General features: G+C 38.9%; 2 long non-coding RNA genes across 6 annotated transcripts in view; one reads left to right on the top strand and one right to left on the bottom strand.

Moving 5' to 3' along the window:
- The window catches only part of LOC105379366 (uncharacterized), a 38,081-nt gene extending 31,312 nt beyond the window's left edge, over window positions 1-6,769 (bottom strand). The window contains exons 1-2 of the long non-coding RNA XR_001745705.1: window positions 6,658-6,769; window positions 3,699-3,810 (exon numbers count right to left, since the gene is read on the bottom strand). This is a non-coding gene — a long non-coding RNA (uncharacterized LOC105379366). The remainder of the gene's footprint in view (window positions 1-3,698; window positions 3,811-6,657) is intronic.
- Window positions 1-19,193, top strand: part of LOC105379364 (uncharacterized) — a 535,736-nt gene that overhangs the window by 446,085 nt on the left and 70,458 nt on the right. For 4 of the 5 annotated variants that reach the window (NR_189605.1, NR_189607.1, NR_189608.1 and 1 more), the window contains 3 exons: window positions 4,511-4,584; window positions 6,345-6,547; window positions 16,021-16,439. This is a non-coding gene — a long non-coding RNA (uncharacterized LOC105379364). Of the gene's footprint in view, window positions 1-4,510; window positions 4,585-6,344; window positions 6,548-13,628; window positions 13,746-16,020; window positions 16,440-19,193 lie in introns of all 5 variants that reach the window. The other variant, NR_189606.1, reaches the window with a different exon arrangement.

A 19,193-nucleotide genomic window follows, 5' to 3' on the forward strand; every position in this document is an offset into this window, starting at 1 on the left:
CACTCCCTCCCACTTTTTGGAGAGATTTCTAGTAATTTTCTAAGACGCCCTGCCAAGGCTTCGACTGTTAGTACAGCAGTGCCTTCCAGGCAAAGTATGTAAGCATAAGCTCTTTCTCCAATCCTCCACCCACCTGTGGACTCAACTAGATGCTTGGAGAAGCCCTGGAAATTGGGCACCCATGTCACTTCCTGGAGGGTGGCCTCCCAACCCATCATTCTCTCAGCAGGTACCTAATTTCTTTCTCCAGATAAAGCACCAACAGAAAGGTGCTGAAACAGTGATTTGGAGAGAGTAACATAGTTCTGCAGACAAGTGACCCACACTAAAACATTTTCCCACATGCCTTATGGTACGGATGAGGAAGGAGTCCATAGATGTGCTATGAAAACATTCTCCCTCCTACTCCATCTCTCTAGTCTGCACTTTTGAGAGTAAATACCAATGAGCAACTTAACCACGGTCACTTATTCTTTTCATGAAAGTGATTCCAGTAAGATTCTCAAGGGATGAAAAATCTTAGAAGAGACACAGTAACTCTCCTGTCCACCTATTCTTAGGAGGGAATATTTACCTCCACTGTCCACTGTTGCTGTAAGAACTCGGGGAAAATAAAGCCCAGTTCCCTTAGCTTGCTATTGGTTCACAAGTGTGAAGGCAGAGCCCCAGAGCCCCCATGTGATCAGGTGCTGAGCCAAGTGCACTTGATGAAGGATGGTGGGAAAAGTGCCAATAAATCTGTGTCTTTTTCTTTTTCTTATAGTCCAAATGCCAAAACATGGTGAGAGAGAGGCCATTTTCACTGATTTCTGGCCCATTCAGAAATACTAGAAATCTCCGAAGAAGTAGTTTTAGGGAAATTTACAGTTCAATTTTGCTGACCCAGTAGGTTTAGATGAGAATTGAACTGTATTATTGGTTTGTGACATTTTTCTTTGTTTGGGGGGACAGAGGACTGATTGTGAAGGAGGCTCTGAAAACCCATCAAAATCTGTTCACAATGATGTATCAATGTGAAAATGTACTGTAAACAAAGACACTGGGGGGAAAAATCCTTCTCATTTTAAAATTTTTTATTTTTATGTTTCCTGGACTACTCCTGTCTGAGACTGAAAAGCAAATAGAGAAACATAGTGATTTAAGCACAATAGCAGTAGATACAAATCAATTGTTATCCAGTTTTACTTCATTATGAGTGGGATCTTTGGAGCTATTAATTCACTATTCACAACCTCATATAAATAAAGAAGAATGATAGAAACATGCATTTAATTATTTACTTTCTGCCTTGGGATTAGAGAAGTCTCTGCAGTGGTCTTACTACAGAATCATCCATCAGGCCTCTGAGGAAATGACAGAGAGCACAATATGGGTGACCTGGGGGCTTGTCATCTTATACTCTATGAAACAGGAAGAAAGATATGAGGGGTTCGGGAAGCCCATCCTCCATATTTCAGAAGACTTAAGAGTTGGAATCAGTTTCATCACCCCTCCTGCCCCCTCTGATAACCCCATTTTGTATTCTTCACGTGAGGCCTTGGAAAGAATGGCGGCCTGTCTGAGAAACTGACCAGCTGCCTTGGAGACACTGGGGCTGAGTTCTCCTGAAGCACATTGCCAAAATCTTGTTGATGTAGAAAGAAATTTGAAAGGTAAACTGCAAAAGGGAGAGAGAATGGGAGAAGGGGAGAAAGAGGGAATAGCAAATGGGCAGGGAGGGGTATCTATTTATTGTCTAATTGGCAGTTATTCAGATTTCTTTGTTAAAGCCCAAGGACACAATGCTATCATCTCAAATTAATAGGCTGAACCCAAAGCAACAGGGACAACAGCAAAAGTCGCAGACAACAGAGTGAACATCCCTCCATTTCAACTGAAGCTCAGCCAATTAGTGAAATCAGTCTCCCTCAGCTCTGTGCTTTGTTTTGAGCATTTGACACATTCTCATGTTTGAGTAAACAACAACAACAAAAAAAACCATGCAAACAATAACTGCAGGCATTGTTTTTGTTTCCTAGGGCTGCCATGACAAAGTACCACAACAGCACAAATATAACGAGTGACTTACACAACAATAATTTATTGGATCACAGTTCTAGGGGCTGGAAGTCCAAGATGAATGCGTTGACAGGTTCATTTTGAGGGTGGTGAGAAAAATCTGTTCCGTGCCTCTCCCCTAGCTTCTTATGGTTTGCTGGCACTCTTTATCATTCTTTGGCTATCGATCTATTGCCTATCTCTGCTTTCATCCTCATGTGGCATTCTTCCTATGGGTCTGTCTGTCTCTCTGTCCACATTTCTCCTATTATAAGAGCTCGGTCATGTTGGACCGGCAGCCATTCTAACCTCTTTTTAACTATATCATCTGCAAAGGCTCTATTTCCAAATAAAGTCATATTCACAGGTACTGGTGTTTAGGACTTTAACATTTTAATTTCAGGAAGTTTATAATTCATTCCACACCAGGCATGAATGTAATAAGTAATTTAAATATAGCCTTTAACCTTGAATAGTGAAACATAGATGGATGTGGGCAGCACTGCTGGCTCTCTACCTGACATTAGGTTAAGGTGTTCACTCCAAGGTCTAGGCTTAACAATAATGTAAATATAACTAGTTTTCAAATACTCGTCATGCCCACAATCCCTTAAGCTTTCAGGAAGCTATCAGACTTCATCCCCAATCCTTCAGCTATACTTCACCTTCCCGGCCTACTCATCACATTATAACTACTGTTGATTGAGTGCTAACCAAGTGCCTAGCCATGAGCTTCGTGTTTCACACTTACATAACATGTTATAATAATTACATGAGATAGAAACAGTTCTTATCTCCATTTTGCCAAATGGGAAACCTAGCTGAGAGGTTAGGTAACTTTCTCGGCCCTCATGGCTAGTATGAGACTGAATTCAGACTTAAGCCATGTTTGTCAGAATCTGAAACCTGTGCTCATAATTACTGTGCTAATATTACTGTGCTAATGTTTCCCTCCTATGACATTTTAAAAATTGTGTTAAAAAGTCATAAAATTACCATCTTAATCATTTTAAGTGTACAGTACAGGAGTGTTAAACTATATGTGCGTTGTTGCACAACAGATCTCCAGAAATTTTTCCCCTTGCAAAACTGAAACTCTATAGACATTGAACAACAACTACTGATTGTCCCCATTTCCCCCATCCCCTGGTGACCACATTCTATTACTGTTACTGTTACTGAGTCTGACTATTTTAGATACCTGGTATAGGTGTAATCATACAGTATTTGCCTTTTTACTTGTTTTTGTTGTTGTTGTTGTTTTGTTTTGTTTTGTTTTTGTGTTTCTAGACAGAGTCTCTATCGCCCAGGCCAGGCTGGAGTGCAGTGGCACGATCTCAGTTCACTGCAACCTCCGCCTCCCGGGTTTAAGAAATTCTCCTGCCTCAGCCTCCTGAGTAGCTGGTATTACAGGTGTGTGCCACCATGCCTGGCTCATTTTTGTATTTTTAGTAGAGATGGGGTTTCACCATGTTGGCCAGGCTGGTCTCAAACACACGACCTCAGGTGATCTGCCTGCCTCAGCCTCCCAAAGTACTGGGATTACATGGCGTGAGCCACTGTGCCCAGCCCAGTATTTGTCTTTTTGCGATTGGCTTAATTCACTTGGTCTAGCGTCCTCAAGGTTCATCCATGTTGCAGCGTAGGACAGGATCTCCTACCTTTTTAAGACAGAATGGTGTCCCGTCGTGTGAGTGTATCACATTTTCTTGGTCTGTTCATCTGTTGATAGACATTTGTATTGCTTCCATCTCTTGGTTATTGTGAATAATGCTGCAATAAGCATGGATGTGCAAACATCAAAAATAAACAAATATAGCCTTTTTTTTAAAAGAACAAAATAAAGTCATAAACTTGCATTTGAATTTGGAAAACTAAATTTGAATGTAGTTCTTGTGTTATAATTGAAGTAGGTCCTAGACATATTGAAAATGACTATCTTGTTTGATTTTGAACATTTGGGACATAATATAACATGTACCTAGTTCTGAGGATACCTATAAAGAGTGCCCCAGGTGGTATCACAGAACATAATTTGATAACTGAAATATCTCTTGCACATAAAGCAGCATTACAGCTTTTGCTAAAAATAAATAACTTTTAAAAATACGTTAAACAATTTGTGCTCTTTTTCTACTTTTATAAAATCAAGTTTGGTTCTGCCATTTCCTTTTCACCACTCCTTGCCTGACTTTCACTTTAACTGCTTTACACCTGAGATTTTTGCCTGAGATATAAATGGGCATATTCCCTACAAAAAGTTCTAGTCAGGAACAAAGAATAAACATTTCTCATTGAGCATAATTTGGTGAGGAAACAGGTGAGTGTACTTTTGGCATGATGCACAATTACAAACAGCTCTCTGATCTTGAAAATTATCCTTTGATTTCACTCATATTTATTACATGTGAAATATCTTAGGAAATGAATCACCATCACGTGATTAAAATTGTCTGTATATTTTAATTCCCAGAATTCCAGTGGGAGTAACACCCAGATCCTCTGTATGTAAAAAGGAATTGAAGAAAGGATTGGAGGTCTTAAAGGGTAATACAAATGGATTCAGAATTCTAAAACACTAGCAACACTAAAAATGATTTCAGAACACTACAGAGCCCTGGGCAAACATTTTTGCTGGGAGGTTACACACATACACACACGTGCACACGCGCACACACACACACACACTCCTTCCGATATTGCCCCAGTATCTGGATTTTAAGGTTAGGTAATACAAATATAAATTTGCCTCATGATGTATCATTCAGAAGAAACTGACTATCGCGATGTTCTCAGGTACCATGTAATTTACATCGAGAAGACTATGCTGTTGAGTTGAGCCTAGGCTAGCGTTATTTCATCCTGTTTCATTCCTGTTACAACATAAGTTTACAGAAGGTTAGAGTTGGAAAGAACCTAGAGATCACTTAGCCCTCCCCCCAACCACTCTTTAAAGATAAGGACACAGGTGAAGTGAATTGCCTAAGGTCATTTGTGCTTTGCAGAGCACCCTGATCTAGAATCTGGCTCACTGGGTTCCCACACCAATGTTCTTTTCCCCATATCACAGTTGGCTCAGTAATTTTTAGGTCTGTGTTTGGAAAAGCATCTCCCTTTTATTCCAGGTGCTTCAAATTTATATTCAGAGTCAGTTCCAGTGCCTCAAATGTGAGAGAATGTTGTTGACCATCCCTGGCTTATTTGAGTAATGTGTTTTTAGGGGTGGGAGGGAGAGAGAGAGAGAGAGGGAGAAGGAGAGGGAAAGAGAGGGAGAGAGAGAGAGAGAGGGAGAAGGAGAGGGAAAGAGAGAGAGAGAGAGAGACAGAGAGAAGAATCTTAGCAGTGAAGTACATTGTCAGTCATTTAGCTAAGACAAGGAATAGGAGAAAGACTAAGATAACTTTTCAGAGAGATCATCTGTTTATAATATGTGCTTATATGATCTGACAGTCTCACTTTCCAAAATTGTATTAATAAATCATCTATAGTACTGGCTGGAATAGTTAATACACTTCTTGTGCCTCAGCAGAGAGAAAAATGGCCCTGCTTTCCTTAGCTTTATGACACATTAAGCCTAAATAGAATTAATGATTGAGCTTTGGAATCATATTTACCATGGCGAGCTCCACTTGAAGGCCGGGAGAGCTACAGAAATACAGAAGAGACTTCTTATATTATTAAAAGTAGCTTTTTAGCAGCTCAGAGAACTTTTTCCAGTTGTTGAGGTAGCATTACTTGATGACATAAACTGTTTCAGTATGTCTCTGTATGTATGAATTTGCTATTTATGCATATCAAAGCTGTTAGGGAAATGTACATGCGTTTTTTTTTTTTAACTAGTGTTGGGTATTTTCATATTATTTAATATATTTAATGTGTTGAATCTTCCCAAGCCCTAAATACTCTTTGGAGAGAAAGAGAGATGGAGAAAGAAAGAGTGAGAGAAAAACAAAGAGAGACAGAGACAGAGAGAATGAATAGAAACACAATTCTTATTGTTCTTCAGGGACTAGCTAAAAGAAAGAAGAGGGAATCTTTACCTTGAAACTCAAATAATTTCTGATGTTTTGTAGTCCCTGGGACATTAGGAAGTAGATGAAAATGGCAAGAACAATGAAATATTTTAAAGGGTGAAAATAAATTAAAAATTTTCTCTTACTGTTAACGCTAGTTAATTATTGAAATGTTAAGCATATTATAATTAATGAATAATTGAATCATAATTTTAATAAAAGATGAGGATTTTAAAGTTAGAGCAAAACATGTTAATTTTATTGCAACAACGTTGGAACATGTCTCATTTCTAGGGTCTCACCACTGCAGCCATCATCAAAAGTGGTTATTACCAAGACTAGATTGCAGCTCCGGACAGAGCAGCTGGCAGGGACTCATATTGTGAATTGCAGCTCCAGCTCGACTGCAAGAACAAACCAGCAATCCCGAGAGGACCCACAGACCCTCTAAAGGAAGTGGACTGCTCCTGCAGGACCTGGGAGACACCCCAAATATTGTGAGTACCCCAACTGCAGAAGTAGGAAAAGGAGACCCTCCTCTCCCAAACGCACCCCCCCACTGTGGAGAACCTGAAGGTCTCTTAGCAGGAGAAGTTTCCGACTTTACCTGCTGAGTCAATTTCGAGAGCTGAGCAAAATACGGGGGTAGAGGAAGCAGCAGAAAGGCCGTGGGAGCTGGCTAGGTCCCCAAGCAGACCATTCCAGCCTGGCACCACAGGGATCTATCAGGAGAGGAGCAGGGAGTAAAACTCCAAAGGGAGAAGGAAATCTCTAGCTGAACTTTGTAACAGTTTGAACAGGGTGAGAAGCCTGCTGGCCAGAGCTTGGGGAAGGCTGCCAAGCCTGCGTGCAGACTGCACAGCTGGGGGAAGAACTAAGCCCTTTTCTTTTGCAGCTGGGAGGTGAGGTGGGTATCCTGGGGCAGATTTTCAAGCCCCTATCATTCTCCACCTGGAAATGGGCTGGGGGCTTTTGTAGGGGTCATGGTGGGAGCGAGACCGGCCCTTCGGTTTCCGTGGGAGCTGGGTGAGACCTGTGACTTCTGGCTTTCCCCTACTTCCCTGACAACCAGCATGACTCAGCAGAGGAAGCCATAATCCTCCTAGGTACACAACTCCAGTGACCTGAGACTATCACCCCCAACCCCAACAGCAGCCGCAGCAAGTCCCACCCAAGTAGAGTCTGAGCTCAGACACACCTAGCCCCTCCCCCACCTGAGGGTCCTTCCCTACTCATCCTGGTAGTGGAAGACAAATGGCATATAATCTTGGGAGTCCTAGGCCCCACCCACCACTTATTCCTCCCCATAGTACCACAGCTCATGCTCTCTGGAAAGTGCCACCTCCTGGCAGGAGGCCAACCGGCACAAAAACAGAGCATTAAACCACCAAAGCTAGGAACCTTCACAGAGTCCATTGTACCCACCCCACCACCTCCACTGGAACAGGCACTGGTATCCATGGCTGAGACCCATAGACAGTTCACATCACAGGACTCTGTGCAGACAACCCTCAGTATCAGCCCAAAGCTGGGTAGACTCGCTGGGTGGCTAGACCTAGAAGTGAGATAACAATCACTGCAGTTTGGCCACAGGAGGCCACATCCACAGGGAAAGGGGGAGAGTACTACATCAAGGGAATACCCCATGGGACAAAAGAATCTGAACAACAGCCTTCAGCCCTAGACCTTCCCTCTGACAGAGCCTACCCAAATGAGAAGGAAACAGAAAACCAGCCCTGGTAATATGAAAAAACAAGGCTCATCAATACTCCCAAAAAGTCACACTAATTCACCAGCAATGGATCCAAACCAAGAAGAAATTCCTGATTTACATGAAAAAGAATTCAGGAGGTTAGTTATTAAGCTAATCAGGGAAGGGCCAGAGAAAGGCAAAGCCCCATGCAAGGAAATCCAAAAAGTGATACAAGAAGTGAAGGAAGAAATATTCAAGAAAATGGATGGCTTAAAGAAAAAACAATAAAAATTCAGGAAACTTTGGACACAGTTTTAGAAATGCAAAATGCTCTGGAAAGTCTCAGCACTAGAATTGAACAAGTAGATGAAAGAAATTCAGAGCTCGAAGACAAGGTCTTCAAATTAACCCAATCTAACAAAGACAAAAAAGAATAAAATATGAACAAAGCCTCCAAGATTTCTGGGATTATGTTAAATGACCAAACCTAAGAATAATTGGTGTTCCTGAGTAAGAAGAGAATTCTAAAACATTAGAAAACAAATTTGGGAGAATAATTGAGGAGAATTTCTGCAGCCTCACTAGAGACCTAGACATCCAAATACAAGAAGCACAAAGAACACCTGGGAAATTCATTGCAAAAAAGATAATTGCCTAGGCATATTGTCATCAGGTTATCCAAAATTAAGTCAATGGAAAGAATCTTAAGAGCTGTGAGACAAAAGCACCAGGTAACCTATAAAGGAAAACCTAACAGGTTAACAGCAGATTTCTCGGCAGAAACCCTACAAGCTAGAAGAGACTGGGGCCCTATCTTCAGCCTTCTCAAATAAAACAATCATCAGCCAAGACTTTTGTATCCAGTGAAACTAAGCATCACATATGAAGGAAAAATACAGTCTTTTTCAGACAAACAAATGCTGAAAGAATTCACCATTACCAAGCCACCACTACAAGGACTGCTAAAAGGAGCTCTAAATCTTGAAACAAATCCTGGAAACACATCAAAATAGAACCTCTTTAAAGCACAAATCACACAGGACCTATAAAACAAAAATACAATGTAAAAAGCGAAAACAAAAAAACAAAACCCAAAATACACAGTCAATAAATAGCACAATGAATGCAAAGGCACCTCACATCTCAATACTAACATTCAATGTAAATGGTCTAAATGCTCCACTTAAAAGATACAGGACTGCAGAATGGATAAGAACTCACCAACCATCTATCTGCTGCCTTTAGAAGACTCACCTAGCACATAAGCACTCACATAAACTTAAAGTAAAGGGGTGGAAAAAGGCATTTCATGCAAATGGACACCAAAAGTGAGCAGAGGTAGCTATTCTTACATCAGACAAAACAAACTTTAAAGCAACAGCAGTTAAAAGAGACAAAGAAGGACATTATGTAATGGTAAAAGGCTTTGTCCAACAGGAAAATATCACAATCCTAAATATATATGCACCTATCACTGGAGCTCCCAAATTTGTAAAACAATTACTAATAGACTTAAGAAATGAGATAGACAGCAACATGATAATAATGGGGGACTTCAATACTCCACTGACAGCATTAGGTCATCAAGATAGGAAGTCAACAAAGAAACAATGGATTTAAACTATACCTTGTAACAAATGGATTTATATTTATATATATAGAACATTTCATCCAACAACCACAGAATACACATTCTATCCAAGAGCACATGGAACTTTCTCCAAAATAGACCATATGATAGACCATGAAACGAACCTCAATAAATTTAAGAAAATTGAAATTATATCGAGTACTCTATCAGACCACAGTAGAATAAAACTGAAACTCAACTCCAAAAGGAACCTTCAAAACTCTGTAAATACATGGAAATTAAATAACCTGCTCCTGAATGAGCATTGGGTCAAAAACAAAATCAAGATGAAAATTTAAAAATTATTCAAACTGAATGACAATAATGACACAACTTTTCAAAACCTCTGGGATACAGCAAAGGTGGTACTAAGAGGAACATTCATAGCCCTAAACCCCCACATCAAAAAAGACTGAAAGTGCACAAACTGACACTCTAAGATCACACCTCAAGAAACTAGAGAAACAAGAGCAAACCAAACCCAAACCCAGCAGAAGAAAGGAAATAACCAAGATCAGAGCAGAACTAAATAAGATTGAAACAAAAAAAATTACAAAAAATAAATGAAACAAAAAGCTGGTTCTTCAAAAAGTTAAATAAAATTGATAGACCTTTGGCAAGATTAACCAAGAAAAGAAGAGAGAAAATCCAAATAACCTCACTAAGAAACGAAACAGGAGATATTGCAACTGACATCACTGAAATACAAAGATCATTCCAGGCTACTATGATCACCTTTACACACATAAACTAGAAAATCTAGAAGAGATGGACAAATTCCTGGAAAAATACAACCCTCCTAGCTTAAATCAGGAAGAATTAGATACCCTGAACAGACCAATAACAAGCATCAAGAATGAAATGGTAATTAAAAAATAACCAGGAAAAAAAGGCCAGGATCAGATGAATTCATAGAAGAATTCTACCAGACATTCAAAGAAGAATTGGTACCAATACTTTTGACACTATTCCACAAGATAGAGAAAGAGGGGACCCTTCCTAATTCATTCTATGAAGCCAGCATCACCCGAATACCAAAACCAGGGAAGGACATAACCAAAAAAGAAAACCACATACCGATATTCTTGATGAACATAGATGCTAAAATCCTTAACAAAATACTAGCTAACAGAATTTGACAACATATCAAAAAGATTATCCACCATGATCAAGTGGATTTCATACCAGGGATGCAGGGATTATTTAATATATGCAAGTCAGTAAATGTGTTACATCACATAAACAGAATTTTTAAAAAATCACATGATCATTTCAATAGATGCAGAAAAAGCATGAAACAAAATTCAGAATCCCTTTATGATTAAAACTCTCAGGAAAATCGGCATACAAGGGACATAGCTTAATGTAATAAAAGCCATCTATGACAATCCTACAGCCAACATAATACCGAATGGGGAAAAATTGAAAGTATTTCCTCTGAGAACTGGAATGAGACAAGGATGCCCACTCTCACCACTCCTCTTCAACATAATACTGGGGAGTCCTAGCCAGAGCAATCAGAGAAGAGAAAGAAATAAAGGGCGTCCAAATCAGCAAAAAGGAAGTCAAACTGTCACTGTTTGCTCACAATATGATCATTTGCTTTGAAAACCATAAGGATTCCTCCAGAAATATCCTAGAACTGATAAAAGTGTTCAGCAAGGTTTCCAGATAAAAGATTAATGTGCACAAATCAGTAGCTCTTCTATACACCAGCAGCAAACAAGCAGAGAATCAAATCAAGAACCCAACCCCTTTTACAATAGCTGCAAAAAATAAAATAAAATACTTAGCAATAAACCGAGGAGTCAAAAGACCTCTACAAGGGAAACTACAAAACACTGCTGAAAGAAATCATAGATGACATGAACAAATGGAAACACATCCCATGCTCATGGATGGGTAGAATCAATATTGTGAAAATGACCATGCAGCAAAAAGCAATCTACAAATTCACTGCAATCCCCATCAAAATATCACCATCATTTTTCACAGAATTAGAAAAAACAATTCTAAAATTCATATAACATCAAAAGAGAACCCGCATAGCCAAAGCAAGATTAAGCAAAAAGAATAAATCTGGAGGCATCGCACTACCCGATTTCAAACTACACTATAAGCCCATAGTCAGCAAAACAGCATTGTACTGGTACAAAAAGAGGTGCATAGACCAATGGAATGAATAGAGAACACAGAAATAAACCCAAATACTTACAGTCAACTGATCTTTGACAAAGCAAACAAAAACATAAAGTGGGGAAAGGACACTCTTTTCAACAAATAGTGCTAGGATAATTGGCGAGCCACATGTAGGAGAATGAAACTGGATCCTCATCTCTCACCTTATAGAAAAATCAGCTCAGGATGGATTAAGGACTTAAATCTAAGACCTGAATATAAAAATTCTAGAAGACAACATTGGAAATACCCTTCTAGACATTGGCTTAGGCAAGGCTTTCATGACCAAGAACCCAAAAGCAAATGCAATAAAAACAAAGATAAGTAGCTGGGACCTAAGTAAACTAAAGAGCTTTTGCACAGCAAAAGGAACAGTTAGCAGGGTAAACAGACAACCCACAAAGGGGGGAGAAAATCTTCACAATCTATACATCTGACAAAGGACTAATATTCAGAATCTGCAATGAACTCAAACAGTAAGAAAAAAACAATCCCTTCCAAAAGTGGGCTAAGGACATGAATAGACAATTCTCAAAAGAAGATATACAAATGGCCAACAAACATGAAAAATGGCTCACCATCACTAATGATCAGGGAAATGCAAGTCAAAGCCACAATGGGATACCACCTCACTCATGCAAGAATGGCCATAATAAAAAAAATCAAAAAACAGTAGATGTTGGCGTGGATGCAATGAACAGGGAACACTTCTACACTGCTGGTGGGAATGTATACTAGTACAGCCACTATGGAAAACAGCATAGAGATTCCTTAAATAACTAAAAGAAGAACTACCATTTGATCCCACTACTGGGTATCTACCCAGAGGAAAAGAAGTCATTCTTAGAAAAAGATACTTGCACATACATGTTTGTAGCAGCACAATTCACAATTGCGAAATCATGGAACCAACCCAAATGCCCATCAGTCAATGAGTGGATAAAGAAACTGGTATATATACATGATGGAATACCACACAGCCATAAAAAGGAATGAGTTAACACCATTTGCAGTGACCTGGATGTGCTTGGAGACTATTATTCTAAGTGAAGTAACTCAAGAATGGAAAACCAAACGTCGTATGTTCTCACTGATATGTGGGAGTTAAGCTACAAGGATGCAGTCTTAAAAATTATACAATGGACTTTGGGGACTTGGGGGGAAGAGTGAAGGGGGGTGAGGGATAAAGCACTACAAATAGGGTGCAGTGTATACTGCTCGGGTGATGGGTGCACCAAAATCTCACAAATCACCACTAAAGAATTCATGTAACCAAATACAACCTGTACCCCAATAACTTATGGAAAGAAAAGATAGGTAAGAGCAAGATATTGAAGACCTGTCATCCACAGAGATAGTATTTTGTTGGAGAGGGAAATATAAAGTAGTAACAGACAAAAGAAAAAAAAAGCGTTGGAACATGTCTTTCTTCCCTTTGGTGAGCATTATACTAAAAAAAAAGTCATTTCTGTCATCAGAATATATTTTCCTTTGTTTTAAAATTCTAGCATGATAAAGGTAGATTAAAAGATTATTTCATCCATTCCTCTGGCTATAGAACATACTACACCCAGAGTCGATTTTTAAAGAAACCTCATGCATCCTCTTCCTCTCAGGATATGCATTATTTACAAAGATATGTGCATATTATTTTTTTTAAAGTTAATTGATATTTATCCTGTAAAAATAAGTGAACTTTTTAATCTAACATTATGAGTCTCCATGGCCAGCGTGTGCACTATGGAAACATATATTTTACTAAATCATTCAATATTTCAGAAGTGTAAAGATTTTATGTTACTCTTTAAAAATTTGTGATATCTTATAGATTGTCAAAATAAAAAAAAGGAGGGATATTGGTAGGAGGTAAAATAAAATATTTTACCATTTATCAAATAATGAGTAAAGGCATTCTCTTAAAAAAAAAAAAAACAAAAACCAATAGAGAAGCAGGAAAGAATTGGCCTTTTTGGGGACCCAATTTATATTCCTCTCCCTAGACATGAGTGATAATATATTATTTACCTTTTCGTATGAAAAATTTCTCCTGTTCCCCTCTGTATATCAATTCCAGCAGCCTGGACATTCAAAGGAGCAGGGGATGGAATCTGTGGAGAAGTTAAAGCTCCTGAGATCGATTACTTGAGTAAATAGTTGTAGAGCCTTGTTCGAGACAGACGCCTGGCTAACTTAGGTAAATACTGTAATCCATTTAAACCAGAAACTAGAATTCCAAAACATTTGTATTCATTAAAATTTCTGGCAGTTCAGCAAGTGTGAGTAGAATCCTTGAACATCATCTTAAAGCCCCAAGCTTAACATGAATCCTACTGTGGTCTTTGCCAGGCACTTCTTAACTATTACCTTTTCCAGGTAGAGAAAGAAAGGAGAGATATCATTTTTTTTTTCAGGGTAAAACAACAACAACAAATACAACATCTTTGCCTTCTTTTTTATATACTGAAGTATTTATCTAATATCCTAGATTAACTAGATATTTTGGCCAGTGGCACATAGGGAATGAACTCAACCTTCATTTCACCATCCAGTCTTTACCCAGTGCTATAAATGCCTTTGCTGAGTTAATTAATCCCTTAGAGATTTCTTCTCAAGTCAGGTTTTTGTCCCTTGTTTCTAAGAAGCCAAATTGCTGGTGACGTGCTAAGCTCTTGCAGTCCTTAAGTTATCACTTGAGAGCAATGATACATGGTAAATTAATCAATTTAGGACATAATAATCAAGTAGAAGTATGAGAGGGAAAAAAGATACAAAATTGTGATTTATTACCTTTGAATTTTTTTCTGCCACCTGGATCTCAAGATAGCAATTGAGTTTGTTTTTCTATCCAAGGAGCCTAAAATACGCGGCTTGCAAATCTTTGTCAAACACTAGGGTGAGTGATGTAGCTGACATTAGTTGATGGGTTGGGTAGGAGGCTGGCAGGGTTAGTGCATTAGGAGGCTGATGAAGAGAAGTGAGTGGGAGAGAAAAGCTGAAAGATACCTTTTCTTCTAAAGACTAAGAACCTACTGTACACAAGATTTAGCGTATTTCCAGACACTATTTCTCTAAGTAGACAACCAATTGTGTACGAGATGTTTATTTATGCAAAATTAAATAATACAGATATGCAAAAGGAAAGTTATGTGCGTGGAGTGCTAATGATATGTTTCTAATGATAGAATACACACGTATAGGATATGTATTAGGGTTCCCCAGAGAAACAAAACCAATTGACTATGTTTCCCTAGAGAAACAGACCCAATATGATTCCGAAGAGACACAGAACAATAGGAGACAGGAAGAGAGAGAAAAAGTTTCATTGATTAGTTGATTGATTGATTTGAGGAATTGGCTTATGTGATTGTGGGGATGGCAAGTCTGAAATCTACAGGGCCGACCAGCAGGCTGGACACCTGGGGAAGAGTTGCTATTGCAGCTTCAGCCTGCAGACAGTCTAGAGGCGAATTCCTTCTTTCTTGGGGAACCTCATCTCTTTCTCTTAAGCCCTTCAACTTATTGGATGAGGCCCACCTACACTGTGGAGAGTAATCTACTCAAAGTCTACTGATTTAAATGTTAATCACATCTAAAAATAAAATACCTTCACAGAAACATCTAGATTAACATTTGACCAAAAACTGGGTACTATGTGCTAGCCAAATTGACACATAAATTCACCATCACAGGATAATAATATTAAGCTATTATTAGTTGAAAGCACATGTTGTACACTGCTGAATATGGTGCACTGAGTCAGAGTCCTGGGTTTGGAGGCAAGAGATCTGGGTACTTGTCCTCTATCTGCTAGGCAAGTAACCTAAGATATTTCCAATTTTTTAAATTGTGAAACATGGTGCATCTTGGTAATAGAATATGAGACAGGCAACCCAAGGAAGAGAAAAGGTTTTCTCAATATTGACCCTGAAGTACCCATGGAACACGGAGGCGAAGTCCTGCAGACAGTTGAATGCGTGTATACATCTAGAGCTCACAGAGAAACTGGCTGGTGAAAGTGAGGTTTGAGAGTCATTCACATATAGATGGCAACTGAGGCCCTGTGAATGACCAGAAGGGAGGTCTAGAATGATAATGGAAGTAGTCCAAGGAAACAAGAGGAAGTAGAGGTAGAAGTATCAATGCAGCATACCAAGAAAGAATAGTCAGGGTGTAGAATGAGAATCAGGATAAAGTGGTGTTATGGTGGTCAAGGCTTAGGGAAGTTTAAGATGTTCAATAACATCAGATAGCAAAAGGAAGCTGTAGAGACTAGGTCTGAAAGCATTCCATTGGATTTAACAATTAGTTGAACATTTAGTGAATTTTGCTAGTACAGTTTAAATAATGGCTAACATTCGTGTAATTCTCGATGAGTTTCTATGCTGTGCTGTTCTTTGTATGGATTCTTTCTTTTAATATTTCCTATAACCTGTGAGACTGGTATTAATATCACTGTCTTTATTTTATAGATCTATAAACTCAATTTTAGGAAGTCAAGTATCTTCCCGAAAGTCACACAAGTAAAGATGGACTTGGGTCTCTAATCCATTTGTTTGACTTCAAAACATGTTATCTCCATTCCACTACCTCTTCTGTTCAGTGGAATGAAAGAGGTTAAAACAGTTCACAGGGTCCATGGAGTGAATGAAAAATGAAAATGGGAAGATAAAATACAGATTATAGTTTTCAAGGATTGGAGCTGGAAGGAGTTGCCTGTTTGAGAGCTGTGTTAAGGTCTGAGAAACATGTGCATGTTGTGCACTGCAAGAAAGGAATCAAGAGGAAGGAGAGGATGGAGATATAGAAGATGAAAATCAGCCAGAGTAACAAGGCTCCAGGAAAGCCACATGGCTATGTGCATCCCTTAGAGAAACAAATTGGAAAAAGGGTAAGTGACACCTCTTTTCCTTAGACTAAAAATAATTAAATGTGGGGAGAAGATATAGCAACATTTAAAATGGTGGTAGAAGGTGAGTGAGTTGGTTAGAATAAGCTGAGAGAAATGAATGCTTCAGATTGTTCTGGAGAAGGTCAAACAGTAAATGTTGTTGCACAATAATTAGGAACTTGGGCTTGGACCACCCCTCCCCTAAGTACCAGCTCCACTCTGCTGCTCCCCAGTGCATCCTGTAGCTGACTGGCTGTCCTTGAGGACTCAGGCTGTATGTGCCCTCTGCAGCAAAGCTTTCCTGACCACCTTCTTTGGAGGCTTCCTTTTATTCTGTATTTAATGACATCACAATTTGCCAACATTTTAATCCTTATTTACCTTTTTCCCTCACTGTAACAAAATCTCCATGAGGGTACCTCTATCTTTCTCATGGGTGTGTTTCTTACTCCTAATGTAGTGCTTCTCTTCTTAGCACTTAGTAGGTCCTGAACAACTTTGCATTGAATGAAAAAAAAAAAAAAAGCCTGAATGCCACTCTCTATTACTCAATAGCTATCTGACCTTGGGCAAGATGATTTAACTTCTCAGGCCTTTGTTTTATCATTTGCATAATGAAGAGACTTATATCCTATCAAGGTGTCTTACAAGCATAAAAGATGCTAAACATAAAGGTCTCAATTTTATTCTGGTTGAAAATATGTCCAATAGGTATCAGCTATTATTATTTTGTTGAGTGTGAGAGTGCAAAGGCTGGAAGGGTTGTTAAAAAATGGAGTTTAAGACATCAGAGGGGACTCCTCAAAATAATAACAGAATCCAGACTGAGATCTTTCCCTCTTAGACTGATGGACTGGTACCCACTTATAAAGTTGTTTGGCAATGAAGACAAAGGGAAGGGACACAGAAAATGAAAATGGATCTTGAGAATACAGACATCTGGTTCCAAGGAAAGGGAGTAGAAGGGGATTCAGACCAAGTGCATTTCCTTTCAAACAAGTGCTTTCATCTGAACTGTTCTGCTGAAATAGAAAAGTCACTGTCAATAGCACATCTCATTACAGCCTAGCTTGATGCAGCTTAATACCAAGCAATATGCTCCATTAATTAAATTTAAGGCACTAAGGCTGGAATCTGGAAGCTGTAACCTGAGTCACTTCTCCCCAGGTAAACATGAATGTGTTTTTCTATAAATTGCTTTGAGGTGCTCTGAGATTTCTTTAATCTAATCACCAGACATGATAGCCAATGCCTTATTTGATGGGGCCATGTGGCACGTCTTTTCCCTTCTTTCATTACATTTCCCCCCAGATAATAAGGCTCCACAGGCTCTGGATTAAAAAAAAATATTACTGCTATCACAAGGGAGGAGGTGAAGAAGAGTTTGTTTTTTTATGTGCTTTCTGTGGTTCAGCAAGAGCTAGAGGTTCTCTATTGGCTGAACACGCTAAGAGGTGGAAGGTGAAAATTCAACTGATTCAGAGTTTGGTAGATTTGTTCAGACTAGACATCTCAAAGGCTTTTAATTACTTGGGAACACGTCTGCATGATATTAATGACTAAACCACAAGTAGCCCTCAGAGGGATCCTGAAATCCATCCAGAATTATTTATTAACATCTAAACTAGACTCCACTTAGATCTAGAGATAGTGATAAGGCCCTGCATAATGTAATTTTATCGCAACTTACACATATATTTGTATTTAGAAGCTACGTATTCTTCATTCATCCTTGACTAGCACAGAAACATCAAAGCTGTCATCATTATATTTGTCAAGAATAGTTGTTTTTTATTTCTCTTTAGTTATTAATAGTGCATAGGCAAAGAGGTCTTTGGGCTCCTTCTAGATGTTTTATTTCTTTTTTCTTGTTTCCACAGCATGAAAATTTATCAAAGCTACCTCTCTAATCTATTGTTCTTTGCCTTGAATGCTCTTTGTCAGATGCTTATCTTTGATGTTTTAAGCCTTTAAAAACACTCTTTTAATCTCCCTTTATCGCATTGCTCTGTATCTAGCTACAAGCTCTCCTAATATCACCCTCTCCTTTTTGTTTACATCCAAGTCTGAATGTGCAGATAAAAGATGGTTGGGACACAGTGAACGTTTTCCCTGCACCTCCTGTGAAACACACATTGGACATAGACGTGGTCCACTGGCTCCTCAAAGATTTTTTTTTTTAGAGGAATGATTTTCCAGTTCTAATCTCAAAGCTATAAAATCTGATTTTCTGATCCTACATTTATCCTGTACTCCTCCCTATGTTTCATAGCGAGAGATAGCATGCCTGATTTCCACTAAATTCAGCTGATGTCCACCACACACTTCAGCTGCTGGGTTTCCAAGTAACAGTGGTGTTTTTGTGTCATGGGATATTAGAAGAGGGGCCCAGGAGTGTTGACTCACAACTGTAATCCCAGTGCTTTGGGAAGCTGAGGTAGGAGGATTGCTTGAGGCTAAGAGTTTGAAACCAGCTTGGGCAACAAAGGGAAACTTCGTCTCTGAAAAAATAAAATAAAATAAAAAGTAGAAGAGGCAGATGGGTGCTTTCTTACACCACCATGTTTCCTCTAAGACTCTTTGGCCAACCAGCCAAGACTGATGTAGAAACCAAAATTTTGTATCCACATTTCTTTGCTATATACTACTTTGCTATTCCCTGCTCAATTTTACCATATATACCATTTTGATGTCCATACCAAGTCTTAGCCATTTCAATGTGTTCCATTCTTTCTATCTTACATTTACTCACAT

The sequence above is a fragment of the Homo sapiens genome, chromosome 8 (assembly GCF_000001405.40).
Source record: "Homo sapiens chromosome 8, GRCh38.p14 Primary Assembly".
NCBI lineage: Eukaryota > Metazoa > Chordata > Mammalia > Primates > Hominidae > Homo > Homo sapiens.